Genomic DNA, 26,696 nt, shown 5'->3' on the forward strand with positions numbered 1-26,696 from the left:
CTTGACTGAAAACTTGAACTGAAAGAAATTGGTATTACCCTGGGCAAGTCCAAGTCCTTTACTGTCTCTGGGCTTTAGCTTCCTAAGTATAAAATGTGGGGCTAGGACTAGATGACTTTTAAGTCTTCTTCCACCTCTACCCTTCTGGGTGTACCTCCTGATTCTATCTCATCACAAGTCTTATTTCAGGGCTTGCATTCCCCTCCCCCTTTAGCACCATGGAGAGCAACTTAGCTTGTCCTTTTCAAAGTGCCACTTCTGTAGTGGACCTACAGGGGTTTGCAGTCATCTGAATTTATATGTGAGTTGGCAGTGCAACATGCTGCTGATGAGCAAAGACCAAAGCCCACTTCTCCTGGATGCTCACTCTCTCTTTTTCTTTTTTAAATCACTTGCTGGAGTAGATACTGAATATGTACTTTTGGATGCTAATGGATGCTGGCCTTTTCTTCTCTCCACCTTGTGCTCTTTCTTCCTGAGTTCTCTGCCTCAGACATGTGACAGTGGACAGCCTGTGTGGGATGCAGGCTTTTCTGGCCATGGAGGCCTTGGTAGCTCGGTGACCTACAAGACAGAGGGCAGTGCACAGTAGCAAGCAGATGATGGATAGTTGTGCTGTGAAAGACATACATCCTCTGAATGCTGAAGTAAAAGAAGCCTTGGATGCTGCTAAGTCACAGAGATTTAAATAACAGGAAATAGAGTTAATGTTAAAGATATAGATGGCCAATATAATACTTTCAAAATGAGATTTTCAGGCAAAATAGAGAGTGTCTGCTTAATTGCTAAGGCAGCCTGACCATTACAGTGTTGGATATCTCATTCTGACTTAGCCCCCACATTTCTACTCATGCTATGTACCCTGTGGCGTATTCATATCAACCTCGCTAGGTGGATTCCAAGTTAACCTTGTCCTATGTTCTATTAACATCAGTAGCAGACCTATTTCTAATTTTTAAGAACCTTCAACTTTTTCTTTTTTTTTTTTTTCTGGTGGGTTTAAATATGCCTTTCGTTAACGATTGCCTCAATGGCAAAGAGAGATAGAAGGTGAAAGGATTAATTGAAATGGAAGATGAGAGAGTGATCTGCATTTTTCTCCATCCACTTGCACTCCTGGGCTTTCAAGTTTGCAAATAGAAAGAACTGGGAAAAAATACAATAGACTCTTTCCTTTATCTGATGGTTTGTTGGCTACCTGAGGCGAGGAGTGGATTAAAAAGAAAGCATTTTGTTGCATACATGAGGCCTGAGATGTGTTAGAATAGAGAGGAAAATAAGACTTCATTTCCAACTCATAGTGATTTCATCTACCTGCCTTCAGTCACATCTCATGTTGTCATTGTATTACATGGACATGGGTCTATATAGATGAATGGAGGGGGAAAATAGGCTGCAAGAGAAAAATATATTTTCTGATAGGAAAAATATTGATGCTTGCATCTTAATTGTTGTAATTTTACTCTATTTTTGATGGATATGCATGGTTATTTTTTAAAGAGAAAAGCAAGGAAAGAAAGTAAACCAGAACAATACACCTGGTGAAACTCTGTTTGAAAAAAACATATACACATTCATATATTAGTTTTCTCTGTTCCTTTTATGCTTCACTTGTTGGAAAAGATCATTGGGGATAAAAAATGCATGAGCCATGAGGACTTTTTAATTGAAAAAACAAAAACAAAAACAAAACAAAGAATTCCAAACAGTGCATTAGTTTTCCAGATAGATCAGGGATGCTGATGTCGTTGAAAAGAACGGATTTTCTATACTACTGTAACAAGATTCATCTATCTCCTTGGAAACTTTAATTAAACTAATGTTATAAATAATAGCAGCCAGAGCTGTTGGACACAAGAAAACAGATTTATAGCTGCATCTGCTCAGCTATTCCTCTTTTAGGTGGTATATTGGGGTTAGGATGTGAGGATGAAGAGGCTTGCACGGAAAATGTTTCTGTGCACTCTTTTTCCTGCACAAACCCCAAATCTAGGTGACTTTTCTCTCCAGATTATCCTTTTTAGTTTGTTGTGAGTGTTTCTGCCAGCAAGGGTTGTAGAGTTGCAGAGCCAGCCAGCTAATGTGCCTGGACCCACACCTGAGGGTTTTCATTGGCAATTAGAGTGGAAATAATTTCTCTTCTCTTTAAAGGGCTTGTGTAATGGTGTCTCTAACTCTCCCTCAGGAATGCCATGTCGCATCCCTACTCATTAGAGTCTATTAGTCTGAGGGTGTCACTTTTCTGACAGCAAATTTCACACATTTGAACTAACAAGCTTCAAGTTGTGGCCATCAGCTGGCTTCTTTGGGACACCTAGAATGCCTGTATTACCCAGAATGGAATTTTATTATCATTGGAGGTAAACAGCCCTAGGCTGTGATTAGTCCTGGTATATCCTCAGCAAAGCAGTTGACTGACTAATCCTTCCATGTACTTTTGCTAATATCTGCTTTCCAGGTCTGATGCTGTTTTTGGCTGAAGTACAAGCAAGAAAGAGGCTGGGGAAATGCTGATTCAAATTTCTTGTATTCTTTGACATTTTAGCCTCAGAAGCATAACACCACGCTAAGGAAAATGTAGAATTTTTGCTTAATCATTAGTGAGTTGAGGTTAGTGTCTTATGTTTCTCTAGAGATGATTGATACATTCACTTGATCTTTATAGCTCTGTGAGATGGATGTGATTGCATCTTATAGATGGGAGGTTTTGAGATGCTAAGTGTAAGGTACATGGATGTGCTTTGGTCAAGAATAGGCTGAGGCAGACATCTGGGCCAGAGTGACTCAGTGAGTTTGGAGTACAGGTGCATAACTCCACTTGTTATATAATCACAGCCATAACATGGGAAGGCTCATCGCTATTATTGTTTGTAAAAGGTATAACTGCCCTGCTGATGCTGTGCATACAGCATGCATCCAGAGGGAGAGAGGGAAGCTGTTGGCCGTATAAGGGAGAGCCAGCCTTGCAGGCCAGGGAATGCAGCTGTAAGCATGGGAGCGGCAGGAGCTGCAGAACCAGAGCAGGCAGCCGAGATAAAGGCAAACAGTGTGAGAGAGCTGCTGATGAGAGAGTCGCTGAATAAAACCGTATTTCACCTGCCTATAGCCCCCCGAGTGTTCTTTCAGCCATTCACCACCCATCCACTCACTCCCCTCGAACCTCAGCATGGGCTGCAACCTAATATCTGGCATGACATTTGGCATAGCTGGCAGGAGAAGGTGAGTGGTTCTTCAGCCCCGAGGCTCCCAGCTCGGCTATGTGACCTCAGCATGGGCTGTGGTACCCAGTGGCAGTGGTGCTGCTTTGATGATCCCCAGTGGAAATGTGAGAGGCAGTGGGCAGGTCTCCTGTGAGTGTGGAGAAAGCACTGAAGCAGCTGGAAGGACACAGCACCAAGAAGGAACGCATCTTCACCGGCAGAGTTGGATGGGTGTTTCTGACTGCACTGTGGGAAGTACATGCTCAGTCTCTGCAGGACGCTGCCCAGGTTTAGAAGTGACAGTGCTCCTTATGCCTGGGATTGAGATGATGCAGGTGAGAGAGTCTTTCTGGCAGCCAGCAGGCAATTCAGCAGACACAAGCCCTACGGGTAGTTAGCCAGGGGTGTCCATTTAAACGTGATGTGCATGTGACCACAGATAGTTTCAGTTAGGGCCTATAGCGGTGCATGGAGCACTGAATACACCAGTAGGCTTTGGGTCGCAACTATGGAAGGGAGCCAAGCTCCAGTATTCCTTGATAAAGATGCAGTTAGTAACTGCATATGCTGCCCTTCAGGCTCGTAAGAACGTAACAGGACGGGCTACAGTTGTCATGTGCACAGCTTACCCAATAGCAGGATGGGTGCATTCATGGGTAACAACCCCACAGGCTGGGACAGCACAGACATCCACTTTAGCAAAGTGGGACACCTACTTAGAGCAGTGAAGTACTCTACAAGTCCCTTAGCAGCAGAGTTACAAGAGATATTGAAGCCTGTAGTCCTAATGCAAGATAAGGCCATGGAGCCTGAGGTACCCCTAGACCCTGAGCCATCACCGTTTAAGGAAGTGCACCCCCCTATTTCTGATGAGGCATAGTATACAGATAGGTCTAGCCAGAGCACTGCTGCTACCTGGACTGCTGTTGCAGTCCAGCCTAGTACTGACACTATAAAGTTTGATACCAAGTGTTGGCAAAGTAGCTAATGAGCTGAACTCAGGGCAATATGGATGATGATCACCAAGGAAGTAATACCTATGGTAATCTGCACCGATAGCTGAGCAATTTATCAAGGTTTAACCTTTTGGTAAATCACCTAAGAGTTACAGAATTAGCTAGTTAGTCACCAACCCATGTAGGACCAGGCCATATGGCTGGATCTGTGACAGGAAGGATGACCTTCTCCAACCAGGTATGAGGACAATGATGATCTGTTGTTGCCTGCTCCAACACCCCTGAAGGCAGAGGGAACAGAAAACCTAATCTTATCCATAAACTCTCCAAGCCGCTGTTTGCAGATGGTTGGCTATCATAGCCCCCTGGGGGTGGGGAGGGACTGCAGTATAACTTACATGGTACTCCTTGGGTATTTAATGTGTGGCCTCCACAATTAACCGTTTGTAGGGGAATGGCCAAGGAAGGGATCCTCCTCCAGGGCACATGTGTACTGTCTGTGTGGCCTATTAGAAGCTCCCCTGTGACTTTGGCACAGGTACAGGATCCAAAAGAACCATGGGGAACTGATAAGGTGTACCATTGCCCAGGGCAGAAGGCCTTGGCGGCTGCATTATTACCCAGAGATGAAAAATTAGCCTGCATTTTGCCTGAGGAACGTGATTTACCCCTGTTAGTACCTGTGCCTGCTTCGTCATTTCGGCTGTAGGTTGACATGCTCCAAAGCATTGTGGACTAGGCCCACACCTACACTGAAGTGACCAAAGTCTCAAACTGTTGGATCTGCACCACCCTTCCAACAGCAGCTGCAGACAGCTTGCCCTGGCATGCACCTCCAGCTTCCGTGAAGAACTGGACATAGCTAGAGACTTGGGGTTCCACGGACATTGGTTAGGCCAAAATCCACCTTGTTATAAATTCCAAGTATAGCTGATCAGTTGGTCTTTAGATGCTAGAAGGCTTATGTGTGTTGTTTTTAGATTCAAAGACTCCCTCTTTCCTGGAATTTGAAGTATTGATAGGTTCATGACTTCAACACTACAGAGATACGGCCCATTGTCCTTGTAAGATTTGTATGCCTTGTGTGGGTCTCGATGCTGATGTGTAATGGCCAGGGACATAATCTTACATCACGACTGACTGCAAATGAGCCATTCAGCCATTTCTTCAAATGTGGAGTAGACGTTACACTAGTCTCCAGTGTTACGTATGTGGTTTTACACTGCTCCAATATAAATTTTGATATTCGCTACCTCAAGGTGACAAATTCTCTGTATTCTTTAAGGGGACTTTGCAATTGAAGGTCTCATTATAAACTACTGGTGGTGAAATCAAGGGTTGGGCAGTAGGAGACCCCCATTTAGGAGGGCATTTGTCGTTATTGCTTCTTTTATTGGCACCTAATTAGATATGTACTAGAGCCTGCAGGAACTAATAAGAGAGCACAGGAGGTAGGCGAACATATTGAATTCTGAGTAATTTTCATGGATGGCAATTTTTCATGGACATTAGGTTGATACATAATGACTTAACACTGCAAACCTGGTCATCCTATTCCCTACCCACTCCAACACACAATTACGCTTGTTTAATAGCCTCTGATAAGCTTTAGGATAAAGGTCACAATCCTTAATATAGCTTACAAAAATTGTGTATAGTCTAGTCCACGTTTCCTTCTGTAGTTTCTCCTTGCATTGGTTTCTGCCTTTTTCTGATTTTGAGTTCTTTAGAGGTATCATATTCACTTAAGCCACAGAACCTCTCTTCACAATGCTGTTTCTAGGATGTCAAGTTCACTCTTATACATCCTTAATTTTCAGGCTAAAAGAAAGGGGCCTCTTGTGTTTTACACTTTTACCATAAAATAGTGTTTGCTTTTCAACACAGTAATTTTTGATCATTTGATTGATGTCTGCCTTTCCTATGGGCTGTAAGCACCCTATGAGCTCACCATTGTTTCACAAATGCCAATCATAGAGCTGCCACCTAATAGGTAATCAGCAAATATTTGCAAATACCTGAATGAATGAATAAATGGCAAAGCTTCTCTAGGGGTCTGGATTCCTAGCTTGTGGCCACTGATCCTCACATTCTCGATGGCTTCATTAGTGAATTGTTATTTCTTTGCCTCAGTCTCCTCATCTGTGTAGGCATCATTTCTACTCAGTCCACCTGTACAGGGGGTATCATGAGGTTCAAATGAGGGCCTGCATGTGGATGTGTGCTGTAACTTTCAGTGTGCTTTATGAATATCAGGCACAAGGAAAGGTGAAGACGAAGTAATCCTAGCAGTTTTTGCTTTGAACTTTTGAGTATTGTTCTCTTTCTCAGGGAGGCAGTTAATTTATATAAGGCTTTTGGTGATTTCCTGGTCTGATTAACAGCACAAGGTGAACCGTGCCTTGCTCTCAAGTTGAATTTACATGTGGCCTGTGTCAGCGGGAGCTCTGGCAGGCATGAAGGAGTGGAGGAGAAGGTGATTTACAGATAGAGTACAAACATAAACTGATCACAGGTGGGGTGAAGGGATGTGTGCCCCTGCTGGAGAACAAACAGAGTTGGGTACTTGTGTTTTGCCTGCACAGGACATATCTCCATCTTTAAATTCTGTGGATCTGTTTCATAAAATTTGAAGCTCACAGTAAGGGCCTCATTCAAGCCCATTAGACTAACCTCTTTGGGCAGGGTTTCATGACTCCCAGGCTATATTGGTGTAGCCTTAGTGTGAAGATCAATGGATGTGTTTTTCTTTAATTTTTAAAAATTATGTAAGGTGCAAAGTATTTAAAGATATACAATACCCATTGCCCTGCCCTTAATCGTATTGCACAGAAGTGGTCATTATTAGCAGTTTTATTTCTGTTCTTCAGATATTTTCTTTGCATACACAAACACATTTTTTTTCTCCATAATGATATAGCATTGTACATATTATTCTTCAACTTGCGTTTTCATTTAACGGAATATCAGCCTGATTCACTATTGATCTGCAGCGGGAACATATTCAGGAGGAATGAGGCTGCTTTGTTTCTTGCAGGGTAGCCTGGGACTGCTTTGTCCCTTGGTAGTGTGTGGAGCAGTACTCACCTGCAAGCCTCTAGCCTCCTGCTTTGGGCTACAATACATCTCTCTTTCCTGTCACACAGCAGTGACTATAGAAACAGGGCAGGGAGCCAAGAGCCCCTGCCCTTGAATCAGCATGTCCTGTCTCAGCTGCATAGCTAGGTGAGACCACGGCAATTATCCTGCACTGAGATGGGAGTAACAAGATTGAACTGGGTTTGTGATGAGGGTCAGGTGCTCTGAGCAGGGTCATAATGCTAAATCTTATTTTGTGTGGCTGAAATGGAGCTAGTGCTGGCCAGGGTTAGACATCAGGTGAGCACAATGAGAGACAGTGTAGTTTAGTGGTTCCGAGCATGAGCTTTTGGAGTTGGGCAGAACTGAATTTCAAGTCTGGCTCTGCCACTAGATGTGCTACCCTTGCCAAGTTACTTAGCTTTTCTAAGTCTCAATCATAAGATGGGGACAGAGTACCTCCCTCAAGTGATTGTGAGAATTAAATGTGACAGTGCATTTAGATCAAATAGGACACTCCTGGTTGCTAATAACAGTGGCTGAAACTATAAGGATATATAATGTTTACTTTAGAAGTTTAGATAAAGCCGTGCCTGGGATGAGTCAGTAGCTCAGAAGTGACATGCAGGAGGGACACCCTATGTGTCCTTTGATTCTGCCTTCCTTGGCATTGTTTCTAGATGCTTTTCTCTGGAAAATTAGCACTGTGTCTGGTAAGTAAGTGTTTAATATGTGCCATCATGATGATTCGGATGCTAAATCTGACTATGATTCTTTCTCATCTGAGAAAAGCAGAAGTGAACTGAAGGACAAAATACAGAAGCTAATACCAGTATCTGGTTATTCAAGAGTCATTTTTTTTTAAGCAATTTTAGTTCTGTTTTGGCATAGCAAAATTGAACAGGAAGTACGGAGAGTTTCCATATACCCCGTCACTACACACGCACAAGCTTCCCTTTCTGTCAACATCAAAGCACAAGAGTGGTACTTTGTTACAACTGATGAATCTACTATGACACATTATTACCACCCAAAGTCCATAATTTACATTAGGGTTCATTCTTGGTATTGTACATTTGTGGGTTTTAACAAAGGTATCGTGTCATCTATACAGCATCATAGTAACGTACAGAATAGTTTCACTGCCCTAAAAATCTTTTGAGCTGCTGCTTTTTTTTTTTTTTTTTTTTTTTATTGATCATTCTTGGGTGTTTCTCGCAGAGGATTTGGCAGGGTCATAGGACAATAGTGGAGGGAAGGTCAGCAGATAAACAAGTGAACAAAGGTCTCTGGCTTTCCTAGGCAGAGGACCCTGGCCTTCCGCAGTGTTTGTGTCCCTGCGTACTTGAGATTAGGGAGTGGCGATGACTCTCAACGAGCATGCTGCCTTCAAGCATCTGTTCAACAAAGCACATCTTGCACCGCCCTTAATCCATTTAACCCTGGGTGGACACAGCACATGTTTCAGAGAGCACAGGGTTGGGGGTAAGGTCATAGATCAACAGCATCCCAAGGCAGAAGAATTTTTCTTAGTACAGAACAAAATGAAGTCTCCCATGTCTACTTCTTTCTACACAGACACAGCAACAATCTGATTTCTCTTTTGCCCACCTTTCCCCCTTTTCTATTTCACAAAAACCGCCATCGTCATCATGGCCCGTTCTCAGTGAGCTGTTGGGTACACCTCCTAGATGGGGTGGTGGCCGGGCAGAGGGGCTCCTCACTTCCCAGAAGGGGTGGCCGGGCAGAGGCGCCCCTCACCTCCCGGACGGGGCCGCAGCCGGGCAGAGGCGCCCCCCACCTCCCTCCCGGATGGGGCGGCTGGCTGGGCGGGGGCTGACCCCCCACCTCCCTCCCGGACGGGGCAGCTGGCCAGGCAGGGGCTGTTCTCCACCTCCCTCCCGGACGGGGCGGCTGGCCGGGCGGGGGCTGCCCCCCACCTCCCTCCTGGACGGGGTGGCTGCCAGGCGGAGACGCTCCTCACTTCCCAGAAGGGGTGGCTGCTGGGCGGAGGGGCTCCTCACTTCTCAGACGGGGCGGCCGGGCAGAGACGCTCCTCACCTCCCAGACGGGGTCGCGGCCGGGCAGAGGTGCTCCTCACATCCCAGACGATGGGCAGCCGGGCAGAGACGCTCCTCACTTCTCAGACGGGATGGCGGCCGGGAAGAGGCGGTCCTCACCTCCCAGACTGGGCAGCCGGGCAGAGGTGCTCCTCACTTCCCAGACGATGGGCAGCCAGGCAGAGACGCTCCTCACTTCCCAGACGGGGTGGTGACCGGGCAGAGGCTGTAATCTCCGCACTCTGGGAGGCCAAGGCAGGCGGCTGGGAGGTGGAGGCCATAGCTAGCCGAGATCACGCCACTGCACTCCAGCCTGGGCAACATTGAGCACTGAGTGAACGAGACTCCGTCTGCAATCCCGGCACCTCAGGAGGCGGAAGCTGGCGGATCACTCGCGGTTAGGAGCTGGAGACCAGCCCGGCCAACACAGTGAAACCCCGTCTCCACCAAAAAAATACGAAAACCAGTCAGGCGTGGCGGCGCGCGCCTGCAATCGCAGGCACTCGGCAGGCTGAGGCAGGAGAATCAGGCAGGGAGGCTGCAGTGAGCCGAGATGGCAGCAGCACAGCCCAGCCTCGGCTGGGCATCAGAGGGAGACCGTGGAAAGAGAGGGAGAGGGAGACTGTGGGGAGAGGGAGAGGGAGAGAATTTTTTTATTTCGAGAGTCATTTTTTAACAATTAAAAAAATTTTTTAAATAGAAAATTGTATGTATTTATTGTGTAGAGCAGGCTGTTTGAAATATATATACATTGTGGAATGGTTAGAACTAGCTAATTAACAGATGCATTCTCTCACATAGTAATAAATTTTGTGGTAAGAACACAACATCTCTTCTCTTTGCATTTTTCGAAGACTGCAAGATACTTCATTAATTCTAGTCACCATGCCATACTATAGATCTTGTGAACTTACTCCTACAGTCTAACTGTAATTATATATCCTTTGACCGACATCTCCTTATCATTTTGATACATGGCTGTTCCTGCCATCAGGGCATCTTCAAAAGACCCAGGGCCTTGATCAAAGAGGGGAAAGAGTATGAGTGGGTCTGAGAGGCCAGAGTGCCTCCTGCCTCCATAGGCCATCGTCCCAATTGGCAGGGGTCAATCTTGTTGGCCTTCACTTTCGGAAACCTGGCCTCTACCTGTCTGCCTGTTGCTGCTGCCTTCTCAAAGGCCCTTTCAACACAGGTCTTCCTTATACATAAAGGGCCATGGCAGGCCCAGCTAAGCCAGAGCCTGATTGCAGCTTTTACCCAAGCCTGACTTCACACTTACTTTTATCTCCTGATCCTGTCAGCTCTTGCCTTTTTAGTTCACCAATCCCTAGATTTTGATACTGACTCAGTTTGGCAACTTGCTTGGATTCCTTCCCTGTTTACTGACTTCAGAGCTTCCTGGCTGCTCCTGCCAGTCCTCCTGTACAACATCCTCATTGGCAGGACAGCCCTTCCTGACCTCAGGGGAGATTCTGACCTTTGCTTTACTAGTCTCCTTGACCTTGACTTTTTGATACACACTGATATTTTTATTTTCCTGCCCTCCTTTAACTGCAAGTTGGATCCATGACAGTTTTGGGGGGTTGCTCTGGACCTCTCTGGAGTTAGAGCTATGCAGCAGTGGAAATCTCTATCTGCAGTTGAGCTTAAGGCTTCACTTGTAGGAGCTCTGAAATCTAGATTTCAGTTTCTAGAGATGAAGACGAATACAACTTTTGCAGGATCCACGAAGCTGTTAAATGCACAAATTATATGACTGAGGCTTGCTGTAAAGCTCATTCCTGCTAAACACCACATGAAAAAGGTGACCCAGTATTTGTAAGATGAAAAATCACTAGGATTAACCAAAATGTCACCTCCTTCAAAAGAGGGTGTGCTCAGGTATCACCTGCAATAATCCCTCAAGTGGGAGGCCGGGTGGGATGCTGGAAAAGCCTTGGAGTCTGAGCTGAGTATCTTCTATTGGCTTCTCGGGAAACATTCTCTCCCCTCCCTTCACTCTACTGTGTCTGAGCAGGCTGACCTGCATGGGCTGCATCTGTGGGCTTCTTTGCCATCTGGATTTTTTTTGAATTTTATTAGGAAGAACAGGCAGGGGAAGGGAGGAGGAGAAGGTATCTATTCCCCTGTCTTCTTCACTGTGGGGTCACCTTGGGCTGGCTGTGACCTTTGACTGAAAGCCACAGGCCCTATTAGGTGGTTCTTTTTGGCTTCCTTGCTCTTTAATGCCAGAAAGGGAAGAGCTTTTCCCATCTTCTTTTTACACACTGTGAGGTGCCACCATCCCTCACAGTTTATGTACTCCTTGCCTGTACTTCTGTAAACAATGCCGTTTAATCTATTATTCTCTTTGCAAATGACCAAAGTACAGTATACTGAGTTTCCCACAGGACCCTGACTGTTACACATCCTAAGTCAGAAACCCTGGCTCACTCTCTGGCTTCACCACTTCCTAGCTGTGTGCTCTTGGGTGTATTTCTCAACTCCCTTGAATCTTGGGTTTCTTTTCAGTAAAATGGGGATGGCAGTCATTCTTGCTTCTGTCTATACCACCCTCCTGCCCCCTGCCTTCAAGGAAGAAGACAAAGAGTGTACAAATGTTATGTAAACTGTAATGTACTGTGCACAAAGGAGGAGTTACCATCTCTGTGATGCGCAAGGAGCTTGAAGTGGGAATTGGGGAAAGCAGAAGGCTTTGAGGCTAGAGCATTCAGGTCCCCAGATGGGACTCTGCATCCTCACCTGCTCCTCAGCACAGCCAATGAGAAGCACATCTGGCAGGAGAACAGGACCTAACAAAATACCCTCCAAAGCTGAGGCCACAGGACCGCCTGTTCTATTCACCTTAGCCCACAGGTCCAACTCATCTGGAAAACAGATGAGAGCTCCTCTAATTACAGACAAATTATGTAGGGATGACATTAGACTCTGGTAAGATGGACTCTCTGGTAAGGCCTTTGGAAAATAAAGTTATGTGGTCCAAAAGGAGGAAGCTGTCAAAATGGTGCTGAGAAACAGATGAAAAGGCCAATTTCTGGCCTTTTGTTTTTCAACATTCACAGAATACAGTATTGGCAAGAGTAAATCCTGTTATTTGTGTCTGGATAATCTGACACTTGTTGCTAAAAGGAAATGGCCATGGCATTTATATTGGAAATTTCCTTGGAAGGCCTTGTGCATGAGCTTCTGGAGGGAGGTGGCACCCCCTCTAGCAGATGACTCTTTATCACGTCAATCACCTCATCTTCTTTTATTGTCTTTGAAGGACTATTCATTGTGTAAAATTATCTTGATCAGTTACCTGTTTACAATTTTATGATGTCTCTCATTCTTTCCTACCTGTAACCCTTGCCTCCAATAAGGAAATCAGCTCCTCGAACTTATTTTAATGCTGAGTTCCAAGCACTTGGCTAAATGCCTGGCACAGAGTGGACATTCAACAATATTTGTTGAATGAATAAATGAGAGAAGGATTACTATGCATAGCTGGCTATGTTGGGCACAAGACAGAATTCTGGGTCTTTAAGGAGCTCACATCTAACGTCTAATATCTTTCCACAACTTTGGGGCAATGGACATAAACCCACAACTCCAAGACATTAAATACTCAGGGCCCCAAAAGAAGCAAAGGCACAGATCAACTGTTATAGGATTAGAAAATGGGAGACTTGACTTCCAGTGGAAATGAGGGGAAAGTAGAATGAACAGAGGTTTAAGAGAAAGGCTGTGTTTATATTCAGATCCCTAATTTCTCAATGGTTTCCTTTTGCTTCAGTTATTTGGGCCACAGTTTTCTCATTAAAAAAAAGATGATGATTGACTCTACGTCATGGGTTTAACTGAAGTAATGCATGGAAAGCAGCTGGGCACATAGTAAGCAGTCAGCAAATGTTAATTATTATTATTGTTAGCAGCAGTAGTAGGATAAGGAGGAGGAGAAAGAGGAGGAAACGTTTATGAACGAAAATTCAGTGAATCCTGGCCAGTGGATGAGAAGACTTGCGTTCCAGCTTTTGTCTTGCTATTCAACTCTGTGGTGATGTTTGAAAGAACTTCCGTTTTCTGGGCATCATTTGCAAAATGAGGAGTTTGAACTTGCTGATCTCTGGGTATCCTCAAATTATTATTAGTTTGCATAGAGTTGGGCTTGAAGGATGCATAGTATTTGTGTTTAAGAGCATACGGTGTGCATATGGAGGAATAACTTTCCTTCTTATTTTTATTTGTTTCTGCCTATGCCAAAAGGTTATTTAATTAAGAGAAAATAATCACATGTCTCTTGAGATCCTTCTACTCCAGTACCTGCACACTTTGGATACAGAGGAGCAACCAATCAAATATTCGTTGGTTGCTTGGCTGACTTATTTGGTTGGATATTAGAAAGAGTCTCAAAATTCCATTTTTAAAATTTCTAAATTGTGAATGAGACATTTATTTATTTTACCCTCACTCATATATACTTAGGTAAACACAGAGAAATAGAGGGAGGGTGGAAGAGAAGAAAGAGGATGTCGAAAAGGACCGAATAATATTTATCAGTTGTTTACAGTGTGTCAGGGGTTTACATATAGCATCTCATTTGACCTTCAGAACAATCCTGTGTGATGTGAGAGCAGATGTTTTTAAGGCATCTTCATTTCCATTTTGACTTTGAGACAGTAGGATCAGGGAGGTTTAACCTGTTTAAGGTCCTAGAAGCAGGAGGCATGTTAGAGGTGGGATTGAAACCCAGACCTCCATGACTCCCAAGCCATCATATTCTCACGTGCTAAGTGAAATAAGCCAGTCACAAAAGGACAAATATTATAAGATTTCATCTATATGAAATATCTAGAATAGGAGCATTCATAGAGACAGAAAGTAAATTAGAGGTTTTCAAGTGCTGGGGGGAGGGTGAATGGAAAGTTATTGCTTAATGGTTATAGGGTTTCTGTTTGGGATGATAAAAAGTTAAGGAAATAGATAGTGGTGATAATTGCATAACATTGTGAATGTAATTAATGTTACTGAATTGTACAATTAAAAATGGTGAAATGGTAATTTTTTGTTATAAACATCACAATTTAAAAAATTAATGTTATATATCAAAAACATTGAAATATATAGCTTAAATGGGTGAATTGTACATGAATTATATGAATGAGTAAATGAAATAATTATATTTCAATAAAGCTATTAAAAATCGCAATGCAAGGAAATAAAAGAAAACCCAAATATACATATTGAGTAGGTCCATTATAAATCTGGGAAAATCAATCTGTAAAATAAACTCTGAGATATATCCTCATAAAAGTATTAAATTTTATATAAAAGAGAAGAAATTTCATGATCTTAAGGCAAAAAGACCTCACAAAGGAAAAAAATTCAGGTTGCCATCAGACATTTTGACAGCAATGTACAAAACAAGGCAAAAGTAGCATTTTCAAGAAAACTCGAGGAAAGATTGAGTGGGAAGCAGTTCCCTGTTTGACAGCTGAGTTAAGTGTTGGTGTATTATATAGCCAGTGAAGTGCTAGGAAGGTGTCTGGAACCAAGGGTCCAGCGGTTGGAAGCAAAAGAGTATATGAAACTTTTGGGAATTGCAAATAATTAGCAATTCAGTTTCTGTAAAGTGAAGTGGAGAGGCTCATAAGGCCTTAGATTTCATCAAGTAGTTCATTTATTCATTTGTTTACTTAACTGATGTTTCTTGAGTGTGTTAGTATTAAGTGCCTAGTAATGCCCAGTCAGTTATATGTTACTGAGAGAGAGAGAGCATTGTTTATGATATCTATATAAAGGGAGGAGGAGAGGTTAAAGAGACTAGGGGAATGTGCATAGAAATTTTCATTTATGCATGGAAATGTATGGCATTTACTTGAGTAATTCTTCAGCTATTCCAAACATCCTCTTTCAAATGAAAATTTGCATTTCAACCTTTTCATCAACCTAGTATTCAAAGTGCTGATGGACAATTAATCTATGTAAGAGGCAGAGACAACTGAGCCAGTTCATCCATTTGATCAACATTGTACAGTTGTAGGGAGATGGCTGTGTACAGGAACTGATCAGATGGATACAATTTGAGTGCATAAGTGCAAAAATAGGTGAAATGAGAACTATTCTTGAGCATATATTTTGTGACATGAGCTGCTTTAGGTACTGGGGATACCAAGGCAAATAAGAGCTGGTTTCTGCTTTTCAGTTGCCCTAAATCTATAAAATGCTGATTACATCACAGGGTGTAAGTAAGGTAAGTACCAGGTATGGTGAGAAGAACAGAATTGTTATCTTTATGTGTACTGCTGAGTGGTCATGCCAAGACTTATCATAGTGCTTCATCTGAGTTTAGAATTGCTTGCCTTATAGCGTATCTTCCTGCATACTTTTGTGTTAGTTAGGATGCTCTAGTTGTAAGTAACAGAAATCAACTTGAATACCTTGAGCAAAGAAGGTGAGGTTACTAAAAGGTTACCAGATTATCTCATGGAATGGACATAAGGAAAAGGATGTAGCTGGATCAATGGAAAGATGTGGAAAATCAGTAAACATTCAGGTGACTCAGTATCACTTCACTTATGCCTGTTTATGTTTGTATTGGTGACATTTTCAAAGCAGTTACTGTTCATGGCCTCATTGAGCCTCAACATAAATAGGTAAGTAGGGCAGGCATCATTTTCTTTATGTAAGAGGTAAGGAAATAATCCAGGAAAAGGAAATGATTTGTCTAAGGCTACATCCCAAGTTCAGTGGTTAAGTCCAGAATTTAGAATAGCAGTCTCTAACTCTTGGGTTTATTCTTTACCCATTAGTTTTCTTCAAAACTTTGTCTCACTACTATGCAGTTTTTTTCCTTCTTCGAATTCTCTCACCTTTTTAATTTTTATTTTATCATTCATTTGGTCTTGGAAATTAAAGGAGTCGCCTGTGTGTCCTTAATAATAGGCTTATTTGAGACATCTCTGGCAACTAATTTATATTCTGTAACCTGAACATGAAGGGGCCACCAAGAAAGGAGATAATTAAAGAGAGGATGGGAGATCTCAGTCATCTCAGTGATTTTCTTATTATCATCCATGAAGTACCTTACCAGACATGGGCCATTATAGTTTAAATGATGAGTTGGAGTTTGAAAAGGATTTGGAACTTCATCAGACACTTTCCGAGCTTGTAGCCCATTGTTTTCCAAACTTCAATTTTTCTTCCACAATGAACAATAACTTTTTGATTAAACAGCTGGCAGTTACTATTGAATGCCTCACATTTAATAACAAAAGTCTTCCTTCAGAACAGGAAATTTTATCTAAATTGCTTTGCTCTTCTTCCATGATTGTGAACTTCTAAAGTCTGACAGGACTGATAGCTGGAAAAAATAAAAATTTCTTTCAAGAAGATGATGATTGCTTTTTAAAAGAAAGAGCCCCAAACTAAATGAATAATTCGGTGTGCTTGCTACAAAGCAGAAGTCAAGGCACACAAGTTATCCTCTCTGTAAACATTATTAAAAAACAATCAAGTTTGTATTGGCACATTTATATTGGGAAGATTGTAGACAGCAGCTGAGAGAAAGAGTAAAAAAAGCACCGCTTGGTAGTTAGGGACCTTCTTCACTTTTTGTTTTTGTTCTTAATAGAAGTAGCTACCATTATTCAGCTAATACTGTGCTATGCCCTTAATATATTAATTAATTAGTACTCCAACCTGAATCCCTTCCTGCCCTCCTGCTAGTACTTCCCTTTGACTGAAACCAAGTGGAACCAAAAGGAGAGGAACTTTTGATACAGGTCAGTCTCCTGTGGCCCAAAGCCAGGCAAAGAGGGGTGGAGAGTGTATCTGGCTGGGACACATGGAGAATATTCAGCTCGCCTTAATTTTATAATAAATAAAGTCATTTGTTTTGCTGTTCATCTGCCCTATAATGCAGTCTCTAAGAGGACAGGGATATAATATTATTTTCAAAATAAATTTACTGGTGTCTGCCTATATATTATCTATCTATGTATCTATCTATCTAATCTATCTAATCTGTCTATTCATCCATCATCCAAACAACTATTATTAATGGTCATAGTCAGGAGAACTCTTTCATTTCTTTATAATGCTTTGCAAAATGGTGGGACACTGCAGGAATTTTTCTTTTATTTGTACTACTTTCTCATTTTTTTTTTATTCATGTAGAAAAACCTCTAGAAACTGTCCTGCAGAGGAAAATCCCCTCCCTATGCCTCTTACTTTGCCTCGGAGATGCTTTAAGAAGAGGCCCTGCTGGGCGTGGTGGCTCACACCTGTAATCCCAGCACTTTGGGAGGCCGAGGCGGGCAGATCACGAGGTCAGGAGATCAAAACCATCCTGGCTAACATGGTGAAACCCCGTCTCTACTAAAAATACAAAAAGTTATCCGGGCGTGGTGGCAGGTGCCTGTAGTCCCAGCTACTCAGGAGGCTGAGGTGGGAGAATGGCATGAACCTGGGAGGCGGAGCTTGCAGTGAGCCAAGATCGTGCCACTGCATTCCAGCCTGGGCGACAGAGAAAGACTCCGTCTCAAAAAAAAAAAAAAAAAAAAAAAAGAAGAGGCCCAACTACTTCCATCATAGGCTTGCTTGGAGCTATATCCTGTGGCTGGGGCAGGAGCTCCCAGCCAAGCCTGACTCTGCTGCTCAAGGGCAGATAATACCAAATGAGTCCTCTATCAGAGATTTTTTTTTTTTTTTTTTTGGAGACATGGTCTCACTCTGTTGCCTAGGCTGGAGTGCAGTGGCACAATCTGGGCTCACTGTAGCCTCAGCCTCCCTGGGCTCAGGTGATTCTCCCGCTCCCACCTCAGCCTCCTGGGTTACTGGGACCACAGGTACCTGCCACCGTGCCTAGCTAATTTTTATATTTCTTGTAGAGATGATGTTTTGCCATGTTGCTCAGGCTGGTCTAGAATTCCTGGGCTCAAGTGATCTGCCCACCTTGGCTTCCCAAAGTGCTGGGCTTACAGGTATGAGCCACATGGGGCCAGGCTGGCACCTATAAGTCTGATTTCGTGAGGGGCTTATGAATTTGTATTTTTGAAAAGCTTATGAGGCTATCCTACTGCCTAGTAAAGTTTGGGAATTGCCAAGAGACCTTTGGTGGTTTCCAAAGTCCTGAAAGAGTCAGAAAGTCAAAGAATACTAATCCCTGCTTGAATGTGGAGATGCCAGTGTTTGAGGTGTGTGTGTGTGTGTGTGTGTGTGTGTGTGTGTGTGTGTGTAGTCTATGCTGTACAAAGACTTCATGGAGAGGGAGCAAAATAATTCCTGTGTTCCTTACCATAACTGCTAGTCCCTGATATATTTTGTATGGGTTGTTTGGGAATGGTCAATCATCAGGCCTTTAGAGAGACATTCATTTGCTCTGGGAAGCTTTAAACTAGTACATGAGGATGTCACACATGCTCACTGAATGACAGATGGCTTTTGGATTCTTACATATTAATATAACAAGTAGCAGATAGTGGTTGGATCAGAAGACCTTCAATGTCCTTTCCAACCCTGAGAGTCCTGGTTACCAATGTCTGTTTTATGTGAGCAGCAGGCTTTTGATTTATTATCACTGGAAACTAACACCTAAATCTTCATCTAGGTGAATAATAATATGGGTTTGCACTAAATTATCACCCATTTGTGAGCATCAGCAAGTGTTTTGGAGGCAGCCAGCCTGGGGTATAATTGAACACTAGGAGCAGCACATTTTGCTCTGAACCTCTGGAAAAGATGGGACCGACGACTGTGGCCTTGATGTAACCTCAATGGCGCCATCTAGGGAGTGATTTCACAGGTTAATGCTCCCCTCTCTTCCTATAAGATTGTGGCTTTTAAGCACCTCTTTTATAGAAATTGTGAAGCTAACACTAGATACTATGTTCTAACCAGTTGAGCCAAGTGGCTTCAATGAGGTTTTTGGTATTTTGTCTGAAAATATTTCAAACTAAAATGTCTTTTAGATTATTCTGTGAAGATAAAGGCATTGATCTCACCTAAAAACATTAATAATGTTCTGTTTGTGAAAAGCATTTTAGACTTTACAAAGTACTTTTACAGAGCAGATGATCTGTTTTGTGCTTACACGGAAAATCCTGTGTGGTAGATGTTGTTATTAAAGGTTTACGGATGAAGAAACAAAGGACTCAGAGAGGTTTAGTAACTTGTCCCAAGTCACAAAACATAAAAGTAAAGGTAAGACACAAATGGGAATTTTCTGGCTCTAGTCTGATGATCTTTCCCTGGCTGATGCTGTTTGTGTAACCCACTGGTTGAATATTTGACTTTTTTTTTTTTTTTTTGAGACAGGGTCTCACTCTGTTGCCCAGGCAGTCCATCGGTGCAGTCACAGCTCACCGCAGCCTCGACCCCCCAGGCTCAAGGGATCTTCCTGTTTCAGCCTCCCCAGTAGCTTGGGCTACAGGCACACACCACCATGCCCAGCTAACTTTTTTATTTTTTGTAGAGATGTGGGTCTTCCTATGTTACCCAGGCTGGTCTTGAACTCCTGGGTTCGAGCAATCCTCCCTCCTTGGCCTCCCAAAGTGCTGGGATTGCAGGCATGAGCCATTGAACCCGGTCTGAGTTTAGACTTTTTTTTTGAGACAGAGTTTCCCTCTTGTTGCCCAGGCTGGAGTGCAATGGCACGATCACGGCTCACTGCAACCTCCGCCTCCTGGGTTTAAGCGATTCTCCTGCCTCAGACTCCCGAGTAGCTGGGATTATAGGCACATGCCAACACACCCGGCTAATTTTTGTATTTTTAGTAGAGTCGAGGTTTCATCATATTGATCAGGCTGGTCTTGAACTCCTGACCTCAGGTGATCCACCCACCTCAGCCTCCCAAAGTGGTGGGATTACAGGTATGAGCCACCTCGCCCGGCCTAGACTTTTTAATAGCAGAATTAATTGAGGGTTTTTAGCCAGTGTGGCATGGCAGAAGTTTACACCTGGATTTGAATTTAGAATTCACCATTTACTGAATAGTATTTAGTCGAGTCACTTCATCTCTGTGAACATCTGTCAATTGAGTATAGCAATGCTTGTCTTTTAGGGTTATTGAAAGGATTATAAAGTCTGTAAACTTTTGGCCTATAGGAGGTGCTAACTCAAAGGCAGCTCTTATAAATTTTGAGACAGTGCCTCTCCATCTCTCTGAGTTTGAGGCTAATTGTCCTTCATCATCTGCTGAAACACCCTTCAGAGACTGGAAGTTCACTGCCTTCCAGGAGTGCCCCTTCCCTCTGTATACTATAGTTCTGACTGCTAGAAAATTTTCTCTATCTTGAGCTCAAAGTGCCTCCTTATAGCTTCCACCTGTTGGTATCAATTTTCCCTCTTGGTGCTGCACAGAGCAAGTTCAATTCCTCTTCTACACGATGGTCTTCCAAATACTTGAAGACCTTATTATGGCCTCCCTAATCTTTACTTCTTCAGACAGAACATCTCTGTTCCTTCAACTGTTCATCACTTGATTTGTCTCACAATGCCCTCACAATCTTTTCTGATTCCTTCTGAAGTATGTCTGTTTATTATCTGAGAAGTTCCTAGAACTAAATGCGATTATCTCTGGACAGATTGACTCAGAATAAAATGAGATAATTACTTTCGTCTCATGGTACACTTTAAGATCACAACATCCTTTTTGACAGCTGATCTTAGCTCGCTGTTGACCAAAAAGGTGTTTATTTTATTTTATTTTAATTTTTTTAATATGTATTTCTGTTTACCCTTAGATCTCACATTCTGTTTTTAAGCAGCATATTTACCCTAACTTTGGACCCTTTTCATTTTTCCGTGTGAAATTTCATCTGATTTGGCCCTAATTCCTGCCTATTAATATCTCTTTTAATCCTGATAGTGTTGTGCTAAATCTGTCATGATTGAAACCATCACACCAGCTTCAAATTTTCCAGCATGTTTAAGAAGCCTATATTCTAGCCAGGTATAGTAGCATGCACCTATAGTCCCAGCTACTTGGGAGGCTGAGGTGGGAGAATTGCTTGAACCCAAGAGTTTGAGACCCTGTCTCTTTGCATGCCTATATCAAAACATCTCATGTATCCCGTGGATATATACACCTACTAAGTACTCACAAAAATTTTAAAAAATTAAAAATAAACAATGAAGCATACTTTCTATTATTTTGTCAAATCACAGATACAAATACTAGTGAGGACAGTCTTATATGATCTGGTTATTTGACCCTGGTACATAATCACAATCATCTCAGAATGATATCTGGATCGTGAATTTTAAGCAGAGAGAAGGGTTGGTAAGAAGTAGTGAAAGAGTGATATTAAGGACATAAAATATGGTTAAGAAGAAAAAGCACCCTTATTATCATTAGAGATCCAGATGAGGAGAGAAAAAGAAAACAGTGAAATTCAGTTGCTGGGCAAGAAAAAGCATGAACGTGACAAGGGTTTCCTAAGGGGATGAAGCAGGTCACACGCAGGCTTGATCTCTGAGAAGACCTCTCTCCTCTCTGTGAAGGGTGTTGACACCCTGCTCTCAAACCCCCTCCCACAGTGTTTGCTGATCTCATTTGAACACTTCTGACTTCTCATTTATCACAGCAAAGGCATCTCCTTGCAGACTTCAACTGTGTGCCTTCTCTTTTTTGTTTGCGTTTGTATTTACAGACAGTTGTTAAGGAACCTGCTGAGCCTTGTTATAGCCCTTCTTCCCATGCTCTATGTGGATTTAGCTTGGAATTCAATCCTTACCTGTTGGGGGCATACTGTATTCATCCCCATAGTCTCTCTTCCCATTACAGTCTGTGTTTTCTGATATAATGCCTGAGGTGCATTTTTCAATTTTGTCATTTTCTGAGTGTCATCTGGATTTGTTAAACAGATTGGCAGGAGGAGACTACAGAGTTCCTCTTTGGGCCATTCCTTTCATGTCCTGGTTTCAGCCCTGTGTGCTGTGTGTTCCATGTGAGCAGTTAATTAACAACATCCAGGCAGCCTGATATGGAATTCAACAGATAGTTCATCGCCGGGCACGGTGGCTCATGCCTGTAATCCCAGCACTTTGGGAGGCCGAGGCGGTGGATCTCGAGGTCAGGAGATTGAGACCATCCTGGCTAACACGGTGAAACCCGGTCTCTACTAAAAATACAAAAAAATTAGCTGGGCGCAGTGGCGGGTGCCTGTAGTCCCAGCTACTTGGGAGGCTGAGGCAGGAGAATGGCGTGAACCTGGAAGGCAGAGCTTGCAGAGCTGAGATCGCGCCACTGCACTACAGCCTGGGGGACAGAGGGAGACTCCATCTCAAAAACAAAACAAAACAAAACAAACAAACAAAAAACCCAGATAGCTCATCAGTGTACACAATTGGCAAAACCCCCTGTCACAGTCAGTAAACTTTGAGGACCTGCTCTGAAGAGTATAACAACCTATGGACTGAATGCTGAATATTTGTTGGTGTCAGAAATAATGCTGATGACATCATGACTTTTGCTTTTCTAGTGGGGCTCAAGAAAGTTACAATTCTCACATTTTTCTTATGAGGCTAAGAGGGGAAAGGGTCTGTTATGTCCCCTTAGCATAAGGCCAAAAGAGGGGCTTAGCTTCATGTGCAAGGTCACCCATTACCATATTGGGCAGGGAAAAATGGATGGGAATGAACTTATGTTCTGTATAGGAAAATTTCTCCAAGGAGCACCTTGATATTCACTAATGCCAGCTAAAAGGCAGTAAAGATGAGGCTCTGTATAACTAAGGAAGGTCATTCCAACTTTTCTCTTCAGCAAGAGCATGAGAGCTTCTCTTCAATTCTTGGCAAAGCCCAAGATAAATCTCTTCATTTACTGTCTCATTTGGGCTTCATATTGTCTTATTGAACAGTGGCATAATACATGTCAATTCACATGATTTACACTGGAAATTCATTCTTTTATATAATTAGGAAAGGTACTGTGGAGTCTCTTCAAAAACCTTCCTTTATCCAGGTAAATAAAAATCCAGTATTTCTTCATAAGTAGTGTTGTTGAACCACCACACTGCTTTGTGTTTAGCTCTGAGGGTTTTATCTATTAATGAGAAAATCAAGTTCTTCACAGAATATAGACTAGTCTTTTAAGCAGACAATACACTTGTTAGGGAGAGTGTTTTAAACCAAAGTCACAAATTAAGAGAGGTTACACCTTGGGAAGAAAATTCCTAATGTGAGCCCTTGATTCAATGATTGACTTTGACAAGGAGTGTGGCAGTTACTCTTTGCCTTGTCCTCTCAAGCAGGTTTTACATTTGACTAGATGTTTAATTTTACATGGTATTATATTAGAAATGAGACACTTACACTTTAAAATATTGATCGATACTAGTGGCATGCAAAATTCCTATAATTCTCCCCGTACAGCTTAATAGGTAGCACCTTGTAAAGGCTCAAGTGAATACAAAGCCTGAGACTCATGTCTAATGGGAAGTGGGTGTTCTTCAGCCCAAAGAAAGGGTAAATTTTTGATGGTTGGAGAGTAAATGCGTTGTTTGCATCTGATAGCCTATAGGAATGTGATACATTTAGACTGATTACAACATAATCAGATTAAGCAGTAAATCATGTGCTTTTCAAAAAACATGCCATTTGGGCCGGGCGCGGTGGCTCACACCTGTAATCCCAGCACTTTGGGAGGCTGAGGCGGGTGGATCATGAGGTCAGGAGATCGAGACCATCCTGGCTAACACGGTGAAAACCCATCTCTACTAAAAATACAAAAAATTAGCTGGGCATGGTGGCGGGTGCCTGTGGTCCCAGCTACTCGGGAGGCTGAGGCAGGAAATGGTGTGAACCCGTGAGGTGGAGCTTGCAGTGAGCCGAGATCGCGGCACTGCACTTCAGCCTGGGGGACAGAGAGAGACCCCGTCTCAAAAAAAAAAAAAAAAAAAAGATGCCATTTGATCTAATTAATTTTCAAGTTGTCGACTGCTTTTCCTGCTCTTTCTGAAATACATCTCTCTGATTTCTCTGTTAGTGAGTTGTCTGCCTGATAGATTCAAATTTTCTATCTCTATCTCTTTTCCGGGTGAGAGACAGTGAGAGGAGTTTATCTTGTTCTTTCTTTGGTGCTTCTTGTATAAATCTCAAAAGGTATTGATGGTGGAGGAGAACACTTGAAAAGGGTTATTACATTTCACTCATCTTTATTGACTTCATGGATCTCATGATTATCAGCATAATGTAAAGTGTCACATTTGACTATTTTTCTCAGTCAGGATTATTAATTTTTGCAAATTGCTCATCATAAAGCTTTGCCATAGTAGGACTTTTATAGCTATCTGACTGTAGTTCTCCTGTTCTGAATACAGTCAGGGAACTTTCATTCATTTATTCATTCAGTATCTGAATTTGGCTAGGTTCTCTTCCAGATAGTAGAAATGCTGACTTGAAAAAGACAGACGAGGCTCCTTATCTTAAGGTGCTTACAGTGTGCTGGGTAAAACAAGCTAAGTGATGGAGACTGACCAGGTGGTTAGGAGTTACTTTATATAGGGTGCTTAGGGAGGGTGTCTAGTGCAGGAGATATCTAAGCAGGTACAGGAATGCTGTGGTCAGTGTTCCATTTCCTCCAGACCCGGAAGATAATTGGTGGTAGCAGCAGTCAGGAAGTACACACACAACTTCAGGATGGATATGATGGGCCCAAGGGTACTAGGAAAGCTATTTCCTCCTTCCTTAGCCAGGTGATCTAGGAAGGCAGGCCCAGCCACTACCAGAGTCTTGAAGACCCCTGTGGGTCATGGAAGCTACCGTGTCACATGCTGAAGAGCTGAGGAATGCGTCTGAATGGATCGTCCAAATGGGGAGGTTCTGAGAGACCAGGAAATAACCAACATATAGGGTGGTTAGAATGTATAAAAATAATATATAAAGAAAGAATGTATAATGTAAGGGTAGTCCTGGATGAGAACTTAAAAATAGGGCCTCTGCTTACTGCTGTTTTCATTTTCCCAGAAACATTCTTCATAAATTGGCTAAATCCAATTAAATGTCCCAAATTGACTAGGGAAAATGCTTACTACCGGACTGGGTGAAAGTGTTAAGAGTAGTGTGCTGCCGTATTTTACTCAGAAAAGCTAACTGATGGCCAGGTGTGTGTGTGGGTGTCAGGTGGGGCGGGGGTTTGGTGATAGTGTGTTTAAGCACACAATCTTATAAAATGTTTCTTCCATCTCTTCCTGTTGCCTGAGCCTATTTCCAATCTTATGTGAGTTTATGATTAACTTTCCACAAAAATAAAACTTTTATAAATGTCAAAGAATTACATTTTTGGAAGAATGTAAAAGAAATAAGATATTTACTTAGAATTTTGAGTAATTTACATAGAAAAGTTTACGATTTATGGCCAAAAAGAGTTAAAGAAAGCTGAAAAAAATGATACTTTAAAACAACAATAATAAAAATACTGAAGTTTTAGGATTCATAGAAAGTATACTTTATCGAAAAATTCTGTTTTAATGCAAAGTTTAGTATCTAAATAGATCATCAGTTTTCTCCATAATATCAGATTAAACAGCAACAGAAATGAATTTTTTTTTCTGTTACATATTAGCTTGTTCTAGCTTTAAAGTTTATAAAGGGAAAAAAGAAACCTAAGACTTAAATTTTGATAATTGTCGAAATGTATGGCAAAAATAGACAATGAGTTCTTGCATTGTAACATTGAAATATCAAACCCTTAAATTCCCTGTCACAGTGATGTCATTTCTTTTAACTGTAAATTCAAAGCATAAGTAAGCATCTAAGATATTGAGACTTCCCATCTCAGTGGGTCCATTTGGTGAGAGCTACAGCAAGTAGGCTGGACTGGGTCACATGACCTGTGCAGCTCCACATTCTTAGGTACCCATGAGACTTACACAATGTCAGCACAGACTAAGTGCCAAGGGCATGTAATGTATTTTGTTTAATCCTCATGACAATCCATACAGTTAACAGTAATATCCTTATGTTTTAAATGAGGAAATTGAAATACAGAGAAATTAAATTACTTGATTAAAGTCATGCATTTAGTAGACTGCGGAACTGCGATACGAACCCAAACATGTTTAATCCCAAATTTATGTTGTTTTTGCTACACCACACTATCTAAGATACTTCTTGGCTTTGTGGGCGTGAAAAAGGCAACAGTAACCTTTCTGTTTTTCAGTGCGGTATATTTTTTAGGGTAAATTATACTAGTCACAACTTCAGAATATCCTCTCCATCTCAGTGGCTTAAAATAGCTGAATTTTATTTCTCATTTAAATAGAGTCCAGTTGGGTGTGTCTAGCTGACAAGTGGCCTTTGATGTCATCCTTTAGGGATTCAAGATTCTCGGTCTTGTAGCTCTGTCCACCCCTTAGCCCTCAGAGTTTTCTCCAGGCAGCTGAAAGGGAGAAAGAGAAAAGAGATAAAGGGAAAGAGAC

At 42.3% G+C, this 26,696-nt stretch overlaps 1 protein-coding gene and 1 long non-coding RNA gene across 5 annotated transcripts in view; one reads left to right on the forward strand and one right to left on the reverse strand.

Moving 5' to 3' along the window:
* NELL1 (neural EGFL like 1) overlaps positions 1-26,696 on the forward strand; it is a 906,136-nt gene that overhangs the window by 184,651 nt on the left and 694,789 nt on the right. The window lies entirely within an intron of this gene.
* LOC105376585 (uncharacterized) overlaps positions 26,430-26,696 on the reverse strand; it is a 46,166-nt gene continuing 45,899 nt past the window's right edge. The window contains exon 3 of the long non-coding RNA XR_931106.3: positions 26,430-26,656. This is a non-coding gene — a long non-coding RNA (uncharacterized LOC105376585). The remainder of the gene's footprint in view (positions 26,657-26,696) is intronic.

Source organism: Homo sapiens, chromosome 11, assembly GCF_000001405.40.
Source record: "Homo sapiens chromosome 11, GRCh38.p14 Primary Assembly".
NCBI lineage: Eukaryota > Metazoa > Chordata > Mammalia > Primates > Hominidae > Homo > Homo sapiens.